Genomic DNA, 23359 nt, shown 5'->3' on the forward strand with positions numbered 1-23359 from the left:
AACTTCTTCCTGGTTTAGTCTTGGGAGAGTGTATGTGTCGAGGAATTTATCCATTTCTTCTAGATTTTCTAGTTTATTTGCGTAGAGGTGTTTGTAGTATTCTCTGATGGTAGTTTGTATTTCTGTGGGATCAGTGGTGATATCCCCTTTATCATTTTTTATTGCGTCTATTTGATTCTTCTCTCTTTTTTTCTTTATTAGTCTTGCTAGTGGTCTATCAATTTTGTTGATCCTTTCAAAAAACCAGCTCCTGGATTCATTAATTTTTTGAAGGGTTTTTTGTGTCTCTATTTCCTTCAGTTCTGCTCTGATTTTAGTTATTTCTTGCCTTCTGCTAGCTTTTGAATGTGTTTGCTCTTGCTTTTCTAGTTCTTTTAATTGTGATGTTAGGGTGTCAATTTTGGATCTTTCCTGCTTTCTCTTGTGGGCATTTAGTGCTATAAATTTCCCTCTACACACTGCTTTGAATGTGTCCCAGAGATTCTGGTATGTTGTGTCTTTGTTCTCGTTGGTTTCAAAGAACATCTTTATTTCTGCCTTCATTTCGTTATGTACCCAGTAGTCATTCAGGAGCAGGTTGTTCAGTTTCCATGTAGTTGAGCGGTTTTGAGTGAGATTCTTAATCCTGAGTTCTAGTTTGATTGCACTGTGGTCTGAGAGATAGTTTGTTATAATCTGTGTTCTTTTACATTTGCTGAGGAGAGCTTTACTTCCAAGTATGTGGTCAATTTTGGAATAGGTGTGGTGTGGTGCTGAAAAAAATGTATATTCTGTTGATTTGGGGTGGAGAGTTCTGTAGATGTCTATTAGGTCTGCTTGGTGCAGAGCTGAGTTCATTTCCTGGGTATCCTTGTTGACTTTCTGTCTCATTGATCTGTCTAATGTTGACAGTGGGGTGTTAAAGTCTCCCATTATCAATGTGTGGGAGTCTAAGTCTCTTTGTAGGTCACTCAGGACTTGCTTTATGAATCTGGGTGCTCCTGTATTGGGTGCATATATATTTAGGATCGTTAGCTCTCCTTGTTGAATTGATCCCTTTACCATTATGTAATGGCCTTCTTTGTCTCTTTTGATCTTTGTTGGTTTAAAGTCTGTTTTATCAGAGACTAGGATTGCAACCCCTGCCTTTTTTTGTTTTCCATTTGCTTGGTAGATCTTCCTCCATCCTTTTATTTTGAGCCTATGTGTGTCTCTGCACATGAGATGGGTCTCCTGAATACAGCACACTGATGGGTCTTGACTCTTGATCCAATTTGCCAGTCTGTGTCTTTTAATTGGAGCATTTAGTCCATTTACGTTTAAAGTTAATATTGTTATGTGTGAATTTGCTCCTGTCATTATGATGTTAGCTGGTTATTTTGCTTGTTAGTTGATGCAGTTTTTTCCTAGCATCGATGGTGTTTACATTTTGGCATGATTTTGCAGCGGCTGGTACCGATTGTTCCTTTCCATGTTTAGTGCTTCCTTCAGGAGCTCTTTTAGGGCAGGCCTGGTGGTGACAAAATCTCTCAGCATTTGCTTGTCTGTAAAGGATTTTATTTCTCCTTCACTTATGAAGTTTAGTTTGGCTGAATATGAAATTCTGGGTTGAAAATTCTTTTCTTTAAGAATGTTGAATATTGGCCCCCACTCTCTTCTGGCTTGTAGGGTTTCTGCCGAGAGATCTGCTGTTAGTCTGATGGGCTTCCCTTTGAGGGTAACCCAACCTTTCTCTCTGGCTGCCCTTAACATTTTTTCCTTCATTTCAACTTTGGTGAATCTGACAATTATGTGTCTTGGAGTTGCTCTTCTTGAGGAGTATCTTTGTGGCGCTCTCTGTATTTCCTGAATCTGAACGTTGGCCTGCCTTGCTAGATTGGGGAAGTTCTCCTGGATAATATCCTGCAGAGTGTTTTCCAACTTGGTTCCATTCTCCCCATCACTTTCAGGTACACCAATCAGACGTAGATTTTGTCTTTTCACATAGTCCCATATTTCTTGGAGGCTTTGCTCATTTCTTTTTATTCTTTTTTCCTCTAAACTTCTCTTCTCGCTTCATTTCATTCATTTCATCTTCCATTGCTGATACCCTTTCTTCCAGTTGATCACATCGGCTCCTGAGGCTTCTGCATTCTTTACGTAGTTCTCATGCCTTGGTTTTCAGCTCCATCAGCTCCTTTAAGCACTTCTCTGTATTGGTTATTCTAGTTATACATTCTTCTAAATTTTTTTCAAAGTTTTCAACTTCTTTGCCTTTGGTTGAATGTCCTCCCGTAGCTCAGAGTAATTTGATCGTCTGAAGCCTTCTTCTCTCAGCTCGTCAAAGTCATTCTCCATCCAGCTTTGTTCTGTTGCTGTTGAGGAACTGTGTTCCTTTGGAGGAGAAGCGCTCTGCTTTTTAGAGTTTCCAGTTTTTCTGTTCTGTTTTTTCCCCATCTTTGTGGTTTTATCTACTTTTGGTCTTTGATGATGGTGATGTACAGATGGGTTTTTGGCGTGGATGTCCTTTCTGCTTGTTAGTTTTCCTTCTAACATACAGGACCCTCAGCTGCAGGTCTGTTGGAGTACACTGCTGTGTGAGGTGTCAGTGTGCCCCTGCTGGGGGGTGCCTCCCAGTTAGGCTGCTTGGGGGTCAGGGACCCACTTGAGGAGGCAGTCTGCCGGTTCTCAGATCTCCAGCTGTGTGCTGGGAGAACCACTGCTCCCTTCAAAGCTGTCAGACAGGGACATTGAAGTCTGCAGAGGTTACTGCTGTCTTTTTGTTTGTCTGTGCCCTGCCCCCAGAGGTGGAGCCTACAGAGGCAGGCAGGCAGGCCTCCTTGAGTTGTGGTGGGCTCCACCCAGTTGGAGCTTCCTGGCTGCTTTGTTTACCTAAGCAAGCCTGGGCAATGGCGGGCGCCCCTCCCCCAGCCTCGCTGCCGCCTTGCAGTTTGATCTCAGACTGCTGTGCTAGCAATCAGTGAGACTCCATGGGCATAGGACCCTCTGAGCCAGGTGCGGGATATAATCTTGTGGTGCGCCGTTTTTTAAGCCGGTTGGAAAAGCGCAGTGTTTGGGTGGGAGTGACCCGATTTTCCAGGTGCCGTCCGTCACCCCTTTCTTTGACTCCGAAAGGGAACTCCCTGACCCCTTGTGCTTCCCAAGTGAGGCAATGCCTCGCCCTGCTTCGGCTCACGCACGGTTCGCGCACCCACTGACCTGCGCCCATTGTCTGGCACTCCCAAGTGAGATGAACCCGGTACCTCAGATGGAAATGCAGAAATCACCCGTCTTCTGCGTCGCTCAGGCTGGGAGCTGTAGACAGGAGCTGTTCCTATTCTGCCATCTTGGCTCCTCCGGAACAACCTTGAATACCTTTTAATGTGCTTATTGGACATTCCTATATTTCTGTTTTTATAAAGTGTCTGTTTGTCTTCTGCATTTAAAAAAATTGGGATTATTTATCTTTTGCTGCTGATTTATATGCATTTAAAATGTATTTTAGATACAGATCCTTTGTCAGATAAATGTAGATATTTTCTCACAGTCTGTGGCTTTTTTTAAAAAAAATCAGTCTTCTGAAGAGCAGATAATTTTATTTTCAGTGAAGTGTAGTTTATCAATAGTTTTTCTTTCCCCTATTGTGCTCTCTCTAGAAATTTTATTTTAAAAATTTCAACTTTTATTTTAGATTCAGGGGGTAGTTGTTTGTTACAGGTATTGTGCAGTGCTGAGATTTGAGGTACAGTTGAAACTCTTACCCAGGTAGTTAGCATAGTCCCCAGTAGGTAGTTTTTCAACCTTTGCCCTACTTCCCCTGTCATGTAGTCCCCAGTGTCTATTTTCCCCATCTTTACGTGTACCTAATTTTTAGCTACCACTTATAAGTGAAAACATGTGGTATTTGGTTTTCTGTTCCTGCGTTACTTTGATTAGGATAATGGCCTCCAGCTGCATCCATGCTGTGGCAAAGGACATGATTTTGTTCTTTTTTATGGCTGCATCGTATTCCATGGTGTATATGTACCATATTTTCCTTTTACAGTCTACTATTGATGGGCACCTAGGTTGATTCCATATTTTTGCTATTGTGAATAGTGCTGTGATAAACATATTAGCACCTGTGTCTTTGTGGTAGAACAACTTATTTTCCTTTGGACATATACTCAGTAATGCGATTGCTGGGTTGAACGACAGTTCTAATTTTAGTTATTTGAGAAATCTCCAAACTGCTTTCTATAGTGGCTGAACTAATTTACATGTTCATCAACAGTGTATAAGCATTCCCTTTTCTCTGCAGCCTCACTAACATCTGTTATTTTTTGACTCTTTAATAATAGTCATTCTGACTGGTATGAGATGCAATTTCATTGTAGTTTTCATTTGCATTTCTGTGATGTTGAGCATTTTTTCATTCATTTGTTGGCCACTCGTATGTCTATGTCTTCTTTTGAAAGGTGTGTCTGTTTACATCCTTTGCTCACTTTTTAATGGGGTTGTTTTTTGTTTACTTATTTAAGTTCCTTATAGAGTCTAGATATTAGTCCTTTGTCAGATGCCAAAGTCAGTATCCAGAAGGATATTTCCTAAGTTTTTTTTACAGTTTTAGGTCATATATTTAAGTCTTTAATCCATTTTGAGATTATATTTGCATATAGTGATAAGTATTTATCCAATTTCATTCTTCTGCATATGGGTAGCCAGTTATCCGAGAACCATTTATTGAATATGGAGTCCTTTCCCCATTGCTTGTTTTTGTTAACTTTGTTGAAGATCAGTTGGTTGCAGGTGTGTGGCTTTATTTATGGATTTTCTATTCTGTTTCAATCATCTATGTGTCTGTTTTTGTACCAATACCATGCTGTTTTGGTTACTGTAGCTTTGTAGTGTAGTTTGAAGTCAGGTAATGTGATGCCTTCAGCTTTCTTCTTTTTGCTTAGAATCGTCTGGCTACTTGAACTCTTTTTTAGTTCTGTATGAATATTATTTTATATTTTGAAAAGTTTTAATTTTTAATTTTTGTGAGTACAGGGTAGGTGTACATATTTATGGGGTACATGAGCTATTTTGACACAGGCATGCAATGCGTAACAATCACATCAGGGTAAATAGGGTATCCATCACCATCACCTCAAACATTTATCCTTTGTGTTATAAACAATCCAATTATACTTTTATTTTTTAAATGTACAATTAAATTATTGTTGACTATAGTCACCCATTGTGCTATCAAATGCTAGATCTTATTCATTCTTCTCTTTTTTGTGCCCATTAAGCATCCCCACTTCCCCCTACCACCCCACTGCCCTTCCCATCTCTGGTAACCATCATTCTACTCCATATCTTCATAAGTTTAGTTGTTTTAATTTTTAGCTCCCACAAATAGAATATGTGAAGTTTATCTCTCTGGGCCTTGCTTATTTCACTTAACATAATGAACTCCAGTTCTATCCAAGTTGTTACAAGTGACAGGATCTCATTCTTTTTTTATGGCTGAATAGTCTCCAATATGTATATGTGCCACATTTTCTTTATCCGTTAGTCTGTTGACACTTAGTTGCTTCCAAATCTTGGCTGTTGTGAACAGTGCTGCAATAAACATGGGAGTGCAGATATCTCTTTGTTATACTGATTTTCTTTCTTTTGGCTATATACCTGACAGTGGAATTGCTGAATCATATGGTAGCTCAATTTTTAGTTTTTCTGAGGAATCTTCAAACTGTTCTCCATAGTGCTGTTACTAATTTGCATTCTCACCAACAGTGTATGAGGGTTCCCTTTTCTCCATATTCTTGCCAGTATTTGTTATTGCCTGTCTTTTAGACAAAAGCCATTTTAACCGGGATGAAATGATATCTCCTTGTAGTATTGATTTGCATTTCTCTGGTGATCAGTGATGCTGAGCACCTTTTCGTATATCTGTTTGCCATTTGTATGTCTTTTGAGAAATGTCTATTCAGATCTTTTGACCATATTTAAATCTGATTATTAGATTTTTCTCATAGGGTTGTTTTGACACTATATATTCTGGTTATTAGTCCCTTGTCAGCTAGATAGTTTGCAAGTATTTTCTCCAATTCTTTGGGTTGTCTTTTCACTTTGTTGATTGTTTCCTTTTCCATGCAGAAGGCTTTATAACTTGAAGTGGTCCCTTTCTCCATTTTTGCTTTGTTTGCCTATGCTTGTGGGGTATTACTCAAGAAACTTTTACCCATTCCAATGTCCTGGGGAGTTTTCCCAATGTTTTCTTTTAGTGATTTTATAATTTGAGGTCTCAGATTTAAGTTTGTAATCCATTTTTATTTGATTTTTGTACATAGTGAGAGACAGAAGTCTATCGTTCTTCTACATATGGATATCCAGTTTTCTTGGCATCATTTATTAAGGAGATTGTTCTTTCTCCAATATATGTTCTTGGCACCTTTGTTGAAAATGAGTTCACTGTAGATGTATGGATTTGTTTCTGGGTTCTCTATTCTGTTTTCTTGGTCTATGTACATTTTTGCATTACTACCATGCTGCGTTGGTTTCTATAGCTCTGTAGTATAATTTGAAGTCAGATAATGTGATTCCTTCAGTTTTGTTCTTTTTACTTCAGATAGCTTTGAGTATTCTGGGTCTTTTATGGTGCCATATAAATTTTAGGAGTTTTTCTTATTTCTGTGAAGAATATCATTGGTATTTTTATAATGATTGCATTGAATGCGTATATCGCTTTGGGTAGTAGGGTAGTATGGACATGTTTAATAATTTCGATGCTTCCAATCCATGTATATGAAATACCTTTCCATTTTTGGTGTCCTCTCCCATGTCTTTCATCAATGCTTTTTTTTTTTTTTTTTGAGACGGGGTCTCGCTCTGTCACCCAGGCTGGAGTGCAGTGGTGCAATCTCGGCTCAATGCAAGCTCCGCCTCCCAGGTTTACGCCATTCTCCTGCCTCAGCCTCCTGAGTAGCTGGAACTACAGGCACCCGCCACCACACCTGGCTAATTTTTTGTATTTTTAGTAGAGACGGGGTTTCACCGTGTTAGCCAGGATGGTCTCGATCTCCTGACCTCATGATCCACCTGCCTCGGCCTCCTAAAGTGCTGGGATTACAGGCGTGAGCCACCGCGCCCAGCCAATGCTTTACAGTTTTTATTGTAGAGATCTTTCACTTCTTTGTTAAGCTAATTCCATGGTGTCTTATAATATTTGTAGATACGGTAAATGCGATTAATTTCTGGTTTTTCATTGTGGGCATCTAGAAATGCTAGTATTTTTTGTATGTTGATTTTGTATCCTGAAACTTTACAGAATTAGTTTATCAGTTCTTTTTCTTCCTTTTTTTTTTGAGACGGAGTCTTGCACTGTTGCCCAGGCTGGAGTGCAGTGGCACGATCTCGGCTCACCACAAGCTCCACCTCCTGGGTTCACGACATTCTCCTGTCTCAGCCTCCCAAGTAGCTGGGACTACAGCCTCCCGCCACCACGCCCAGCTAATTTTTTGTACTTTTAGTAGAGATGGGGTTTCACTGTGTTAGCCAGGATGGTGTCGATCTCCTGACCTCGTGGTCCTCCCGCCTCAGTCTCCCAAAGTGCTGGGATTACAAGCATGAGCCACTGCACCCGGCCTACTTTATCAGTTCTAATAGTTTTCTTGTGGAGTCTTTAGATTTTTCCAAATATAAGATCATATCATCTGCCAATAAGAATAATTTGACTTCTTCCTTTCCAATTTGGATGCCCTTTATATCTTTCTCTTGTATGATTGCTCTAGCTAGGACTTTCAGTACTATATTGAATAACAGTGGTGAAAACGAGCATCTTTGTCATGTTCCAGATCTTAGAGGAAAGACTTTCAGTTATTTTCCCATTCAATATGACACTAGTTATGGGTCTGTCATGTATGGCTTTTATTATGTTGAGATATGTTCCTTTCATCCCCAGTATTTTGAAGGTTTTTATTATGAAGGGGTGTTGAATTTTATCCAATACCTTTTGGGCATCAATTGAAATAATCATATGTTTTTTTGTCCTTCAACCTGTTGATATGATGTATCATATTGATTGATTTGCCTGTGCTGAACCATCCATGCATCCTTGGGAAAAATCCCAGTTGGTCATGATGAATGATGGTTTTCATGTGTTGTTGAATTAGTTTGCTAGTATTTTGTTGAGAATTTTTAGATCAATGTTCATCAGAGTTACAGGCCTAAAGTTTTCTTTATGTGTCTTTCTTAGATTTTGGCATCAGAGCAATACTGGCCTCATATAAAGAGTTTAGAAGTACTCCCTCCTTCTCTATTTTTTGGAATAGTTTGAGTAGGATTGGTATTAATGCTTTAAATGTTTGGTAAAATTTTGCAGTGAAGCCATTGGGTCCTGGGCTTTTCTTTGCTTAAAGACTTTTTATTATGGCTTCAGTCTTGTTACTTGTTATAGGTCTGTTCAGGATTTGGATTTTTTCATCATTCAATATTGGTAGGTTGTATGTGTCTAGGAGTTATTCATTTCTTCTAGATTTTTTAATGTATTGGCATATACTTGTTCATAGTAGCCTCTAATGAGCCTTTACATTTCTGCTGTATTGATTTTAATGTTTGCTTTTTCATCTCTGATTTTATTTATTTGGGTATTCTTTCTTTTTTTCTTAGTCTGGCTAAAGGTATCAATTTTGTTTAATTTTTTCAAAAGACAAATTTTTCATTTTTAAGAATCTTTTGTATTGTTTCCTTTGTTTCAATTTCATTTATTTCTGCTCTGATCTTTATTATTTATTTTCTTCTAATTTTGGGTGTGGTTTACTGTTGCTTTTATATTTGTTTAAGATGTATTGTTAGATTTTTTTTTTTGAAGTTTTTCTGCCCTTTTGATGTAGGTGCTTATACCTATAAAATTTCCCCTTAATATTGTTTTCACTGCATCCCACAGGTTTTGGTATGTTGTGTTTCCATTTTCATTTGTTTCAAACATTTTTTCAATTTCCTTTTTAATTTATTCATTGATCCACTAGTCATTCAGGAGAATATTGTTTAATTTCTCTGTGTATAGTTTTCAAAATTCCTCTTGTTATTATTGATTTCTAGTTTTATTCCTTTGTGGTCAAAGAAGATACTTGACATGATTCCAGTTTTTTGAATGTTTTCAGACTTGTTTTGTGGCCTGATATAGGGCCTATTTTTGGGAATGATCTATGTGCTGAAGGGAAGAAAGTATATTCTGCAGCCATTCAATGAAATGCTCTGTAAATATCTATTAGATCTATTTGGTCTATAGTACAGATTAAGTCTGATGTTTCTCTGGTGATTTTCTATCTGGATGATCTGTCTGATGTAGAAAGTGCGGTGTTGAAGTCTCAAGTTATTATTCTATTGGGATCTATCTCTCTGTAGCTCTAATAATATTTGCTTTATATATCTGGATGCTCCGTTGTTGGGCACATATATATTTATGAATGTTATATCCTCTTGCTGAATTGACCTCTTTATCATTATACAATGACCTTCTTGGTCTCTATTTATAGTTTTAGTCTTGAAATCTATTTTGTGTGATACAAGTCTAGCTACTTCTACTATTTTCTGGTTTCCACTGGCATGGAATATCTTTTTCCATTATTTTATTTTCAATTTTTGTATGTCTTTTTAGGTGAAGTGTGTTTCTTATAGGCAACAGATCATTGAGTCTTGTTTTTTCATTCATGTAGCCACTCTGTGTCTTTTGATTGGAGAGTTTAGTCCATTTACAATCAGTGTTATTGTTGATAAGTAAGAACTTAATCTTGCCATTTTGTTATTTGTTTTCTGGTCTTCTCTTTTTTGTTTCCTTCTTGTCTTCCTTTTAGTGAAGGTGATTTTCTCTGGTGGTATGTTTTAATTTCTTATTTTTTTATGGATCTGTTGAATGTTTTTTGATTTGAGGTTACCAGGAAGCTTGTAATCTTACAATCCATTATTTTAAACTGCTGACAACTTAATGCTGATTGCATAAACAAATAAGCAATGAGAAAACTAGTAAAAACTCCATACTTTACCTTTGTCTCCCTGCTTTATAGGTTTTTGTTGTTTCTATTTATATCTTATTGTACTCTGTCTTAAAAAGTTGTCATTATTCTGTTTGATTAGTTTATCTTTTAGTCTTTCTACTTAATATATGAGTAATTTATACACTGCAATTGCACTGTATAACATTCTGTGTTTTTCCATGCTCTTACTATTACCAGTTAGTTTTGTACCTTCAGATGATTTCTTATTGCTCATTCATTCCTTTTCTTTAAGACTGAGGAACTCCCTTTAGCATTGCTTGTAGGACCGCTCTGGTGTTGATGAAATCCCTCATCTTTTGTTTGTCTGATAAAGTCTTTACTTTTCCTTGTGTTTGAAGGATTTTTTTTGTGGATATACTATTCTAGGGTAAAAGTTTTCTTCCTTCAGCACTTGAAATATGTCATGCCACTCTTTTCTTGCTTATAAATCTTCTACTAAAAAGTCTGCTACCAGACATATTAGAGCTCCTTTGTATGTCATTTCTTTTTTCTTGCTGCATTTGGATATTTTCCTTATTTTTGCTTTATCCTTAACCATTAGGAGTTTGATTATTAAATGCCTTGAGGTAGTCTTCTTTGGATTAAATCTCCCTGATGTTCTACAAACTTCTGGTACTTGAATGTTAGTATCTTTCTCTAGGTTTTGGATGTTTTCTGTTATTATCCCTTTGAATGAACTTTTTGCCCTATCTTTCTCTCTACATCCTCTTTAAGTCCGGTAACTTAGATTTGCCCTTTTGAGGCTATTTCCTACATGTCTTAGGCATCCTTTTTAAATGTTTTTATTCTCTTTGATTTGGTTTCCTCTGACTCTGTATTTTCAAATAGCCTGTCTTGAAGCTCACTGATTCTTTCTTCTGCATGATCAATTCTGCTATTAAGAGACTCTGATGCATTCTTCAATATGTCACTTGGATTTTTCAACTCCAGAATTCCTACCTGATTCCTTTTAATTATTTCAGTCTCCTTGTTAATTTTATCTTATTGGATTTTGAATTTCTCCTTTGTGTTATTTTGAATTGCACTGAGTTTTCTCAAAACAGCTATTTTGAATTATCTGCCTGCTAGGTCACATAGCACTGTCTCTCTAGGATTGGTCTCTGGTGCCTTATTTAGTTTGTATGGTGAGGTCATGTTTTTGTTGATCATCTTGATGCTTGTGGATGTTTGTCAATGTCTGGACATCAAAGAGTCAGGTATTTATTGTAGTCTTCACAGTCTGAGCTTGTGCGTACCCATTCTTCTTGTGAAGGCTTTCCAAGTATTCAAAGGGATTTGGGTGTTGTAATCTAAGTTTTCAGTTACTGCAGCTGTATCTGAATTAGGGGGCACTCCAAGCCCAATAACACTATAGCTCTTGCAGATTTGCGAGGTGCTGTCTTAGTGGTCTTGGATAAGATTCTGAAGAATTCTCTGGATTACCAGAAAGAGACTCTTTTCCCTTACGTTTTTCCAAACAGAATCTCTCTGTACAAATTTTACAGTAGATTTGTTTTTCTAATTCTGCAAAAAATGATGGTAGTTTGATAGGCATAGCATTTAATCAGTAGTTTGCTTTGGTCATATGGTCATTTTAACAATATTGATTTTTCAAATCAATAAGCATGGAATGTTTCTCAATTTTTATGTGTCATCTATGATTTCCTTCAGCAATGTTTTGCTGTTGTTGTTGTTGTTGTTGTTGTTATTATTATTATTATTATTATTTGAGGGGTCATCTCTCTCTGTCACCAGCCTGGAGTGCAGTTGCATGATCTCGGCTCACTGCAACCTTCGACTCCTGCATTCAAGTGATTCTCCTGCTTCAGCCTCCTGAGTAGCTGGGATTATAGGCACACACCACTACACCCAGCTAATTTTTGTATTTTTACTAGAGATGGGGTTTCATCATGTTGGCCAGGATGGTCTCCATCTCCTGATTTCGTGGTCTGCCTGCCTTGGCCTCCCAAAGTGCTGGGATTACAGGCATAAGCCACTGTGCCTTGCTTGTAATCATATTTGTAGAGATCTTTCCCACCTCCATGGTTAGGTATATTCTTTGTAGAGATCTGTTACCTCTGTGGTTAGGTGTATTCTTAGGTAATTTATTTTATTTTTTGTCGTTATTGTAAATGGGATTGTGTTTTTGATTTGGCTCTCAACTTGACTGTTATTGGTGTTTAGCAACGCTGCTTTTTTTTCGAACAATGATTATGCATTCTGAAACTTTACTAAAGGTTTTTATCAGGTCTGGGAGCCTTCTGGCAGAGTCTTTAGGGTTTTCTAGATATAGAATAATATTGTGAGTAAAGAACAATAGCTGGGCCTTTTCTTTTCCTATTGGATGCTATTTATTTCTTTCTGTTGCCTGATCTGGCTGTGACTTCCAGTACTGTTTTGAATAGGAGTGTTAAGAGTGGGTATCCTTATCTTATTCCAGTTCTTAAGGAGAATGCTTCAAATTTCTGTCCATTCAGTATGATGTTAGCTGTGAATTTCTCATAGATGGCTCTTAATATTTTGAGGTATGTTCCTTTGATGTCTAGTTTGTTGAGGGTTTTTATTATCAAAGGATGTTGGATTTTATTGACAGCTTTTTGTATGTCTACTGAGATGATCATATGGTTTTTAATTCTGTTTGTGTGACAAATTATACTTATAGATTTGCATATGTTGAACAAATCTTACATTCCAGAAATAAAGCCCACTTGATTATAGTGAATTAACTTTAAGATGTGCTGCTGGATTTGGTTTGCTAGCAATTTGTTGAAGATTTTTGCATCTATCTTCATCAGGGATATCTGCCTGTGGTTTTCTTATTTGTTGTGTCTTTGCCACATTTTGGTATCAGGATGATCCTGGCTTTGTAGAATGAGTTAGAGAGGAGATGCTTCTTCTTGATTTTTTAGAATAGTTTCAGGAGTATTGGTACCAGCTATTCTTTATACATCTGGTAGAATTCAGCTGTGAATCCATCTGGTCCAGTGCCTTTTTAAAATTAGTGTTTTTTTTTTTTAATTACTGATTGAATTTCAAAACTCATTATTGGTCTGTTTCAGATTCATTATTGGTCCTAATTCAGATTTGGGAGCTTGTATCTTTCCAGGAATTTGTCCATTTCCTCTAGATTTTCTAGTTTGTATGCATAGAGGTATTCATAGTAGTCACTAAGGATCTTTTGTATTTCTGTGGATTTGGTTGTCATGTCACCTTTGTCATTTCTGATTGTGCTTATTTGGATCTTCTCTCTTTTTTCTTTGTCAATTTAGCTAGCAGTGTATTGATTTTTTTTATCTTTTCAAAGAAAAAACTACCTTTTTGTTTTGTTGATCCTTCGTATAGATTTCTGAGTCTTAATTTCATTTAGTTCTGCTCTGATTTTAGTTATTTTCTTCTGCTAACTTTGGGGTTACTTTGTTCTCTAAGAAATATTTTTATACTCCAAGTTGGTAACCATATTATTTTGTGTTTTCTTCTAGCTGTGTAACACTTTGGCTTTATATTTGAGTTTATAATCCATCTTAAATTAATTTTGTGTATGGTGTGAAGTAAATTTTGAAGTTCTTTTTATCCCCATTTTTTTTTAAAGTTGTTCCAGCAACAATTGCAGAAAATCCTTTCTTTTCTCATTTAATTGCTTTAGCATCTTTGTGGAAATCAATTGTCCATTTATGAGTGGGTCTTTGTCTGGATATTCTACTCTGTCCATTTTTCTTTGACTTTTGCCAGTATGACACTGTGTTAATTGCTATAGCTTTATAATAAGTTCTGAAATCAGGTAGTTTGAATACCCAACTTTACTTTTTATCTTTAAGAATGTTTTAGCTAGACTAGTTTCTTTGCTTTTCTATATAAATTTTGAAAATTAAAAAAGGTATTTGTTGCATAAAACTTGTACATCAGTTTAGAGGATTAATTTCTTAACAATATTGTATTTTCCAAACTATTATCATTATATATCTCTTCATTTATTTACATAGATTTTCTTTAGTTTCTCTCAGCAATGTTTAACAGATTTCAGTTTAGAAATTTATTCCTTACTATTATGTCTTTTTAACTGAGTCTTTTTTTATTATTATACTTTAAGTTCTGGGGTACATGTGCACAGCATGCAGGTTTGTTACATAGGTATACATGTGCCATGTTGGTTTGCGTCACCGATCAACTTATCATTTACATTAGGTATTTCTCTTAATGCTATCCCTCACCGACTCCCCAGCTCCCTGACAGGCCCCAGTGTGTGAAGTTCCCCTACCTGTGTCCATGTGATTTCATTGTTCAACTCTCACTTATGAGTAAGAACATGCAGCGTTTGGTTTGTTCTTCTTGTGTTAGTTTGCTGAGAATGATGGTTTCCAGTTTCATCCATGTCCCTGCAAAGGACATGAACTCATCCTTTTTTATGGCTGCATAGTATTACATGATGTATATGTGCCACATTTTCTTTATCCAGTCTATCATTGATGGGCATTTTGGTTGGTTCCAAGACTTTGCTATTGTGAACAGTGCAGCAATAAACATACGTGTGCATGTATCTTTATAGCAGAATGACTCATAATCCTTTGGGTATACACCCAGCAATGGGATTGCTGGGTCAAATGGTGTTTCTGGTTCTAGATCCTTGAGGAATCACCACACTGTCTTCCCCAGTGGTTGAACTAATTTACACTCCCACCAGCTGTGTAAAGGCATTCCTATTTCTCCACATCCTCTCCAGCATCTGTTGTTTCCTGACTTTTTAATGATCGCCATTCTAACTGACATGAGATGATACCTCATTGTGGTTTTGATTTGCATTTCTCTAATGAGCAGTGATGATGAGCATTTTTTCATATGTTTGTTGGCTGCATAAATGTCTTCTTTTGAGAAGTGTCTGTTCATATCCTTTGCCCATTTTTTATGGGGTTTTTTTTCTTGCAAATTTGTTTACCTTCTTTGTAGATTCTGGATTTGGCCCTTTGTCAGATGGATAGATTGCAAAAATTTTCTCCCATTCTGTAGGTTGCCTGTTCACTCTGCTGATAGTTTCTTTTGCTGTGCATAAGTTCTTTAGTTTAATTAGATCCCATTTGTCAATTTTGGCTTTTGTTGCCATTGCTTTTGGTGTTTTACTCATGAACTCTTTGCCCATGCCTATGTCCTGAATGGTATTGCCTATGTTTTCTTCTAGGGTTTTTATGGTTTTAGGTCTTACATTTAAGTCTTTAATCCTTCTTGAGTAAATTTTTGTATAAGGTGTAAGGAAGGGATCCAGTTTTAGCTTTCTGCATATGGCTAGCCAGTTTTCCCAGCACCATTTATTAAATAGGGAATCCTTTCTCCATTGCTTGTTTTTGTCACGTTTGTCAAAGATCAGATGATTGTGGATGTGTGGTGTTATTTCTGAGGCCTGTGTTCTGTTCCATTGGTCTATATCTCTGTTTTGGTACCAGTACCATGCTGTTTTGGTTACTGTAGACTTGCTGTATAGTTTGAAGTCAGGTAGCATGATGCCTCCAGCTTTGTTCTTTTTGCTTAGGATTGTCTTGGCTGTGCTTGGCTCTTTTTGGTTCCATATGAAATTTAAAGTAGTTTTTTCCAATTCTGTGAAGAAAGTCAGTGGTAGCTTGATGGGGATAGCACTGAATCTATAAATTACCTTGGGCAGTATGGCCATTTTCACAATATTGATTCTTCTTATCCATGAGCATGGACTGTTCTTCCATTTGTTTGTGTCCTCTTTTATTTCCTTGAGCAGTGGTTTGTAGTTCTCCTTGAAGAGATCCTTCATATCACTTGCAATGTGGATTCCTAGGTATTTTGTTCTCTTCATAGCAGTTGTGAATGGGATTTCACTCATGATTTGGCTCTCTGTTATTGGTGTATAGGAATGCTTGTGATTTTTGCACATTGATTTTATACCCTGAGACTTTGCTGAAGTTGCTTTTCAGCTTAAGGAGATTTGGGGCTGAGATGATGGGGTTTTCTAAATATACAATCATGTCATCTGCAAACAGAGACAATTTGACTTCCCCTTTTCCTAATTGAATACGCTTTATTTCTTTCTCTTGCCTGATTGCCCTGGCCAGAACTTCCAATACTTTGTTAAATAGGAGTGGTGAGAGAGGGCATCCTTGTCTTGTGCCAGTTTTCAAAGGGAATACGTCCAGTTTTTGCCCATTCAGTATGATATTGGCTGTGGGTCTGTCATAAATTGCTCTTATTATTTTGAGATACATTCCATCAATACCTAGTTTATTGAGAGTTTTTAGCATGAAGGGCTGTTGATTTTTTTTGAAGGCCTTTTCTGCATCTATTGAGATAATCATGTGGTTTTTGTCATTGGTTCCGTTTATGTGATAGATTATGTTTATTGATTTGCATATGTTGAACCAGCCTTGCATCCTAGGGATGAAGCGGACTTGATCATGGTGGGTAAGCTTTTTGATGTGCAGCTGGATTCAGTTTGCCAGCATTTTATTGAGGATTTTCGCAACGATGTTCATCAGGGATATTGGCCTAAAATTTTCTTTTTTTGTTGTGTCTCTGCCAGATTTTGGTATCAGGATGATGCTGGCCTCATAAAATGAGTTAGGGAGTATCCCCTCTTTTTCTATTGATTGGAATAGTTTCAGAAGCAATGGGAGGAAGCTCCTCTTTGTACCTCTGGGAGAATTTGGCTGTGAATCTGTGAGGTCCTGGACTTTTTTTTATTGCTATAGTTTCAGAAGGAATGGTTCCAGCTCCTCTTTGTACTTCTGGTAGAATTCGGCTGTGAATCAGTCAGGTCCTGGACTTTTTTTGGTGGGTACGCTATTAATTACTGCCTCAATTTCAGAACCCGTTATTGGTCTATTCAGAGATTCGACTTCTTCCTGGTTTAGTCTTGGGAGGGTGTAGTGTCCAGGAATTTATCCATTTCTTCTAGATTTTCTAGTTTATTTGTGTAGAGGTGTTTATAGTATTCTCTGATGATAGTTTCTATTTCTGTGGAATCGGTGGTGGTATCCCCTTTATCATTTTTTATTGATTCTATTTGATTCTTCTCTCTTTTCTTCTTTATTAGTCTGGCTAGCAGTCTATCAACTTTGTTGATCTTTTCAAAAAACCAGCTCCTGGATTCATTGATTTTTTGAAGGGTTTTTTGTGTCTCTAGCTCCTTCAGTTCTGCTCTGATCTTAGTTATTTCTTGTCTTCTAGCTTTTGAATTTGTTTGCTCTTGCTTCTCTAGTTCTTTTAATTGTGATGTTACTGTGTCAATTTTAGATCTTTTCTGCTTTCTCTTGTGGGCATTTAGTGCTATAAATTTCCATTTACACACTGCTTTAAATGTGTCCCAGAGAGATTCTGGTATGTTTTGTCTTTGTTCTCATTGGTTTCAAAGAACATCTTTATTTCTGCCTTCATTTTGTTATTTACCTAGTAGTCATTCAGGAGCAGGTTGTTCAGTTTCCATGCAGTTGTGCGATTTTGAGTGAGTTTCTTAATCCTGAGTTCTAATTTGATTGCACTGTGGTTGAGAGACAGTTTGTTGTGATTTCTGTTCTTTAACATTTGCTGAGGAGTGTTTTACTTCCAATTATGTGGCCAATTTTAGAATAAGTGCGATGTGGTGCTGAGAAGAACGTATATTCTGTTGATTTCTCGTGGAGAGTTCTGTAGATGTCTATTAGGTCTGCTTGGTCCAGAGCTGAGTTCAAATCCTGGATATCTTTGGTAATTTTCTGTCTTGTTGATCTAATATTGAAAGTGGGGTGTTAAAATTTCCCACTATTTTTGTGTGGAAGTCTAAGTCTCTTTGTAGGCCTCTAAGAACTTGCTTTATGAATCTAGATGCTCCTGTATTGGGTGCATATATATTTAAGATAGTTAGCTTTTCTTTTTGCATTGATCCCTTTACCATTATGTAATGCCCTTCTTTGTCTCTTTTGATCTTTGTTGGTTTAAAGTATTTTTCATCAGAGACTCTTTGCACGTGTGATTGGTCTCCTGAATACAGCACACCAATGGGGCTTGACTCTTTATCTAATTTGCCAGTCTGTGTCTTTTAATTGGGGCATTTAGCCCATTTAGATTTAAGGTTAATATTGTTATGTGCAAATTTGATCCTGTCATTATGATGCTAGCTGGTTATTTTGCCCATTAGTCGATTCAGTTTCTTCATAGCGTTGATGGTCTCTGCAATTTGGCATGTTTTTGCCATGGCTGGTAACAGTTATTCCTTTCCATGTTTAGTGCTTCCTTCAGGAGCTCTGGTAAGGCAGGCTTGGTGGTGACAAAATCTCTCAGCATTTGCTTGTCTGTAAAGGCTTTTATTTCTCCTTCACTTATGATAGTTTGGCTGGATATGAAATTCTGGGCTGAAAATTGTTTTCTTTAATAATGTTGAATATTGGCCCCCACTCTCTTCTGGCTTATAGGGTTTCTGCTGAGAGATCTGCTGTTAGTCTGGTGGGCTTCCCTTTGTGGGTAACCCGAGCTTTCTCTTTGGCTGCCCTTAACATTTTTTCCTTCATTTCTACCTTGGTGAATCTGACAATTATGTGTCTTGGGGCTGCTCTTTTCGAAGAATATCTTTGTGGTGTTCTCTGTATTTCCTGTATTTGAAAATTGGCCTGCCTTGCTAAGTTGGGGAAGTTCTCCTGGATAATATCCTGCAGAGTGTTTTCCAACTTGGTTCCATTCTCCCCATCACTTTCAGGTACACCAATCAGACGTAGATTTGGTCTTTTCACGTAGTCCCATATTTCTTGGAGGCTTTGTTTGTTTCTTTTCACTCTTTTTTCTCTAATCTTGTCTTCCTGTTTTATTTCATTAAGTTGATCTTCAGTCACTGATATCCTTTCTTCCGCATGATTGATTCGGCTATTGAAGCTTGTGTATGCTTCACAAAGTTCTCATGCTGTGTTTTTCAGCTCCATCAGGTCATTTATGTTCTTGTCTACACTGTTTATTCTAGTTAGCAATTCATCTAACTGTTTTTCAAGGTTCTTAGCTTTCCCTTGCTGGCGAGGAGTTGTGATCCTTTGGAGGAGAAGAGACATTCTGGTTTTTGGAATTTTCAGCCTTTCTGTGCTGGTTTCTTCCTATATTTGTGGTTTTATCTACCTTTGGTCTTTGATTTTGGTGATCTAGAGATGGGGTTTTGGTATGGACATCCTTTTGGCTGATGTTGATGCTGTTCCTTTCTGTTTTTCAGTTTTCCTTCTAACAGTCAGGCCTCTCAGCTGCAGGTTGTTGGAGTTTGTTGGAGGTCCACTCCAGACCCTGTTTGCCTGGGTATCACCAGCAGAGGCTGCAGAACAGCAAATATTGCTGCCTGATCCTTCATCTGGAAGCTTCTTCCAGAGGGGCACCCACCAGATGCCAGCCAGAGCTCTCCTCTGTGAGGTGTCTGCCGGCCCCTACTGGAAGCTGTCTCCCAGTCAGGCTACACAGGGGTCAGGTACCCACCTGAGGAGGCAGACTGTCCATTATCAGAGTTCAAACGCTTTGCTGGGAGAACCACTGCTCTCTTCAGAGCTGTCAGGGACATTTAAGTGTGCTGAAGCTGTGCCCACAGCTGCCCCCTCCCCCAGGTGCTCTGTCCCAGGGAGATGGAGGTTTTATCTATAAGTCCCTGACTGGGGCTGGTGTCTTTTGTTCAGAGATGCCCTGCCCACAGAGGTGTAATCTAGAGGGGCAGTTGGGTTTGCTGAGCTGAGGTGGGCTCCGCCCAGTTAGTACTTCCCGTGGCTTTGTTTACACTGTGAGCATAAAACCACTTACTCAAGCCTCAGCAATGGCTGGCACCCCTCCCCCCACTAAGCTCCAGTGTTCCGGGTCAATCTCAAACTGATGCACTAGTAGTGAGAATTTCAAGCCAATGGATATTAACTTGCTGGGCTCCATGGGTGTGGGACCTGCCGAGCCAGGCACCAGAGGGAATTTCCTGGTCTGCCAGTTGCAAAGATAGTGGGAAAAGCAGAGTATCTAGGCAGGAGTGTACCATTCCTCCTGGTACAGTCTCTCACAGCTTCCCTTGGCTAGAAAAGGGAAATCCCCTGACCCTTTGCACTTCCCGGGTGAGGTGACACCTCACCCTGCTTTGGCTCACCCTCCATGGGCTGCACCCACTGTCCAACCAGTCCCAGTGAGATGAACCAGGTACCTAAGTTGGAAATGCAGAAATCACCCATCTTCTGCATCGATCTCGCTGAGAGCTGCAGACCGGAGCTGTTCCTATGAGTCTTTTTAATAGATGTTCTCAAATGGTCTTTGTGCTCATTTAATCTTCTACCAACAAAATAGGACAGGTTTTCTATTTTCCCTCCCTTGAAAAATGTGTAATTTTAGAATATTTTTGATCTTTGCCAACTGAATATTATCTCATTTTAGCTTTAACTTTTACTTCTTTTATTGTGTGAGCTTCTTTTCCTATGTCTAGAAGTTTTGTATTTCCTCTTCTATGAGCGTGTTTATGTTCTTTGCCAACTTTTCTGTGACGTAGTAGATTATTCTCTTGTTGGTTTGCAGTAGCTCTTTCTTATATACACACACACAAATGGCATTTTTATGTTATTTCTTCCAGATTTTTGTTTGTCCTTTAAGTGTATTTGTTTTTTATTTATTATGCATGAAAATTTGAAAGATATAATAATCTTTTATGATTTCTTAGTTTCATGTCATACTGATAATATTCCTACTCACTCTAATATTACAAAGTAATTCCATGTTTTCTTTGTAGAATTTTGAGGTTTCAGTTTTTCATTTAAGCCATTTGCTTATCTGTAATGCATTTTTTGTAGGACTCTATGTAATATGTGGTGAGAATCTTTACATTTTCTAGAAGATTACTCATTTTTTGAGCAATCCTTCCTTTCCCCACGACTATCTCAACATGTACTAAATTCGCACACACATACACACACACACACATAATTTTTATATATATATGATTTAATAATGCTAGTTTTAAATGCGTTCTAGTATCTGTTAGGGGTAGTACTGCTTTATTAATAGTCCTTTAAATTTTTTAATATATTCTTGCATGCTGATTTTGCAAATTTTTTTTTTGTCTAATTCTAAACCTAAAACTTCTATTGATTTTTTTTTTAGGAGCAGGTAAAATTTATAAATTAGTTTAGAGAGAACTGATACATTTCCAATATTCTATCTTCCTGTCTGAGTTAAAGTATTCCTTCCCTTTATTCAAGCCTTCTCCTGGGTTCCACAGAAAGTTTTAAAGTTGCCTAAATGTTAGATATATCTAGTTTTTTCTTTCTGTATATTCTATTTTTGTAGTTATTTTTGCCATTGTAAGTAGTATCTTCTCTTGTGTTATATTTACTAACTTGTTGTGTGAATCTGACATGATATTAATTTTATATTCATCCAACTGACAGCATTCTCTAATCCTTGTCATTTCTGTCTTGGATAGGAAAGGTTTCAGTGTTTTATTTGTAAGTCTGATGGTCTCTCTCTCTCTCTTTCTTTCACTCATCATGTCAGATAAGTACCAACTGATTTTTATTTAAAGTATTAATAATTATAGATAGATGTCGGATTTTGTTAAATGACTTTTCATGCTTCAAAGAAGATAACCATGTGATATTTTTCCTTTAATCTTTTAATATAATGAGTTATATTTCATAATATTGGACTATCTTTGGTATAAACCCAATTTTGTTGTGGTGTATTTTGTATTCATGGGCTTCTGGTTTTTGTTTGCTTATATATTATTTAGATTTTTTAAAATAAAGACTCATAAGAGAAGTTAGTGCTATCATTGTTAGATTTTAGTATTAACGTTTTTCTGATTAATATTTTCTCTTTCCATAAAAGAGAATTTAAAATTGCTTATATTTTCTTAACTCCAGAAATGCTTACAGAGTATTTGAAATATATTTTTAAAAAGTTTGGTGGAATTCAACTGAAAGACTTAATTTGATCCTCTGTAGTGAAAGGGGGTCAAGTAATTCTTTGACAGATTTGCCTGTGTTTCATGTGATCATTCATTTGTTTTGATTTTCCACTATTTCTTGGCTTTTTTGTAATTCATTTTCCTAGAAAATTATCTATTTGAGTCAGGTTTTCAAGTTAATGTGTATAGTCAAACAAAATAGCCTATTATGATCTTTTACATTTTTCTTTAGGTGGTGAATTCCTCATTGTAATTTTCCATTTATATACTTGTGCTTTTCTCTATCTTGCTTCTAAAAATGAAATTAATAGTTTATCTTTTTAAATGGTTTTATTAAGATCTAATTAGCACATCATATAATCTATCCATGTAAAGTAACTAGTGGAAGGGTTTTTCATATACTCAGAGAGTTGTGCGATCATCACTATAATTACAACTTTTTTTTTTTTTTGAGACCCAGGCTGGAGTGCAGTGGTGCCGTCTGGGCTCACTGCAAGCTCCGCCTTCCAGTTCACACCATTCTCCTGCCTCAGCCTCCCGAGCAGCTGGGACTACAGGCCCCTACCACAACGCCCTGCTAATTTTTTTTTTTTTTTTTTTTTTTGTATTTTTAGTAGAGACGGGGTTTCACCGTGTTAGCCAGAATGGTCTTGATCTCCTGACCTCGTGATCCGCCCGCCTCGCCCTCCCAAAGTGCTGGGATTACAGGCGTGAGCCACCATGCCGACCAATTACAACATTTTTATTATTGCAAAAGGAAACCTCATACTTAAACCGTCACTTACAATTTCCTCCCAACCTTCTCCACTCCCGTCTGGGTAACCACCAATCTATGTTCTGCCTTATAAATTTGCCTGTTCTGGATATTTTGGAATTATTCAGTATGTGTGTGGTCTTTGTGACTGGCTTCTATCAGTTAGCATCAAGTTTTCAGGATTCTTCCATATCGTACGATGTATAAGTACATCTTTCCTTTTCATAAGTACATCATTCCTTTTTATTGCTGAATAATATTCTACTGTATTCATATGCCACATATTATTTATCTTTTCTTCAGTTGGGGGGCATTTGCATTGTTTTCTGTTGGTGGCTATTATGAATAATGCTGCTATGAACATTTGTGTACAAGTCTTTGTGTGAATATATGTTTTCATTTCTTTTTGGTAGATACCTAGGAGTGGAATTACTAGGTTATATGGTAATTCTGTGTTTAACATCTTGAGGAGCTACCAAACTGTTTTCCAGTGTGGGTGTGCCATTTTAAATTCTCACAAGCAATGTGTGAGTGTTCCAGTTTCTTCACATGCTTGCCAATAGTTATTACTGTCTTTGTGTCTTATTATAGCCACCTTAGTGGTGTGAAGTGATACCTCATTGTGGTTTGATTTGCATTTCCCTTTGATAGCTAATGATGTTAAACAGCTTTACTTGTCATTTGCATATCTCTTTGGAAAAATGTCTGTTCAAATCCTTTGCCCGTTTTTTATTTGGATGATTTGTCTCTTGAAAGTGTATA

The 23359-nt window shown here is 37.3% G+C and overlaps 1 long non-coding RNA gene across 2 annotated transcripts in view, besides 2 other annotated features; it reads left to right on the top strand.

The window, feature by feature from the left end:
- LOC107987108 (uncharacterized) overlaps positions 1 to 23359 on the top strand; it is a 675821-nt gene that overhangs the window by 255345 nt on the left and 397117 nt on the right. The gene's annotated exons all lie outside the window — the stretch shown is intronic.
- Positions 2390 to 3022: an enhancer, noted in NCBI's record as "H3K27ac-H3K4me1 hESC enhancer chr9:108948996-108949628 (GRCh37/hg19 assembly coordinates)". NCBI's record gives its function as "activates a minimal SCP1, AML or CMV promoter by ChIP-STARR-seq in naive H9 embryonic stem cells {active_cell/tissue: H9 hESC(naive)}" and the evidence as "EXISTENCE:reporter gene assay evidence [ECO:0000049][PMID:30033119]".
- Positions 3023 to 3655: an enhancer, noted in NCBI's record as "H3K27ac-H3K4me1 hESC enhancer chr9:108949629-108950261 (GRCh37/hg19 assembly coordinates)". NCBI's record gives its function as "activates a minimal SCP1, AML or CMV promoter by ChIP-STARR-seq in naive H9 embryonic stem cells {active_cell/tissue: H9 hESC(naive)}" and the evidence as "EXISTENCE:reporter gene assay evidence [ECO:0000049][PMID:30033119]".

This window comes from Homo sapiens, chromosome 9 (genome assembly GCF_000001405.40).
Source record: "Homo sapiens chromosome 9, GRCh38.p14 Primary Assembly".
NCBI classification, from domain to species: Eukaryota; Metazoa; Chordata; class Mammalia; order Primates; family Hominidae; genus Homo; species Homo sapiens.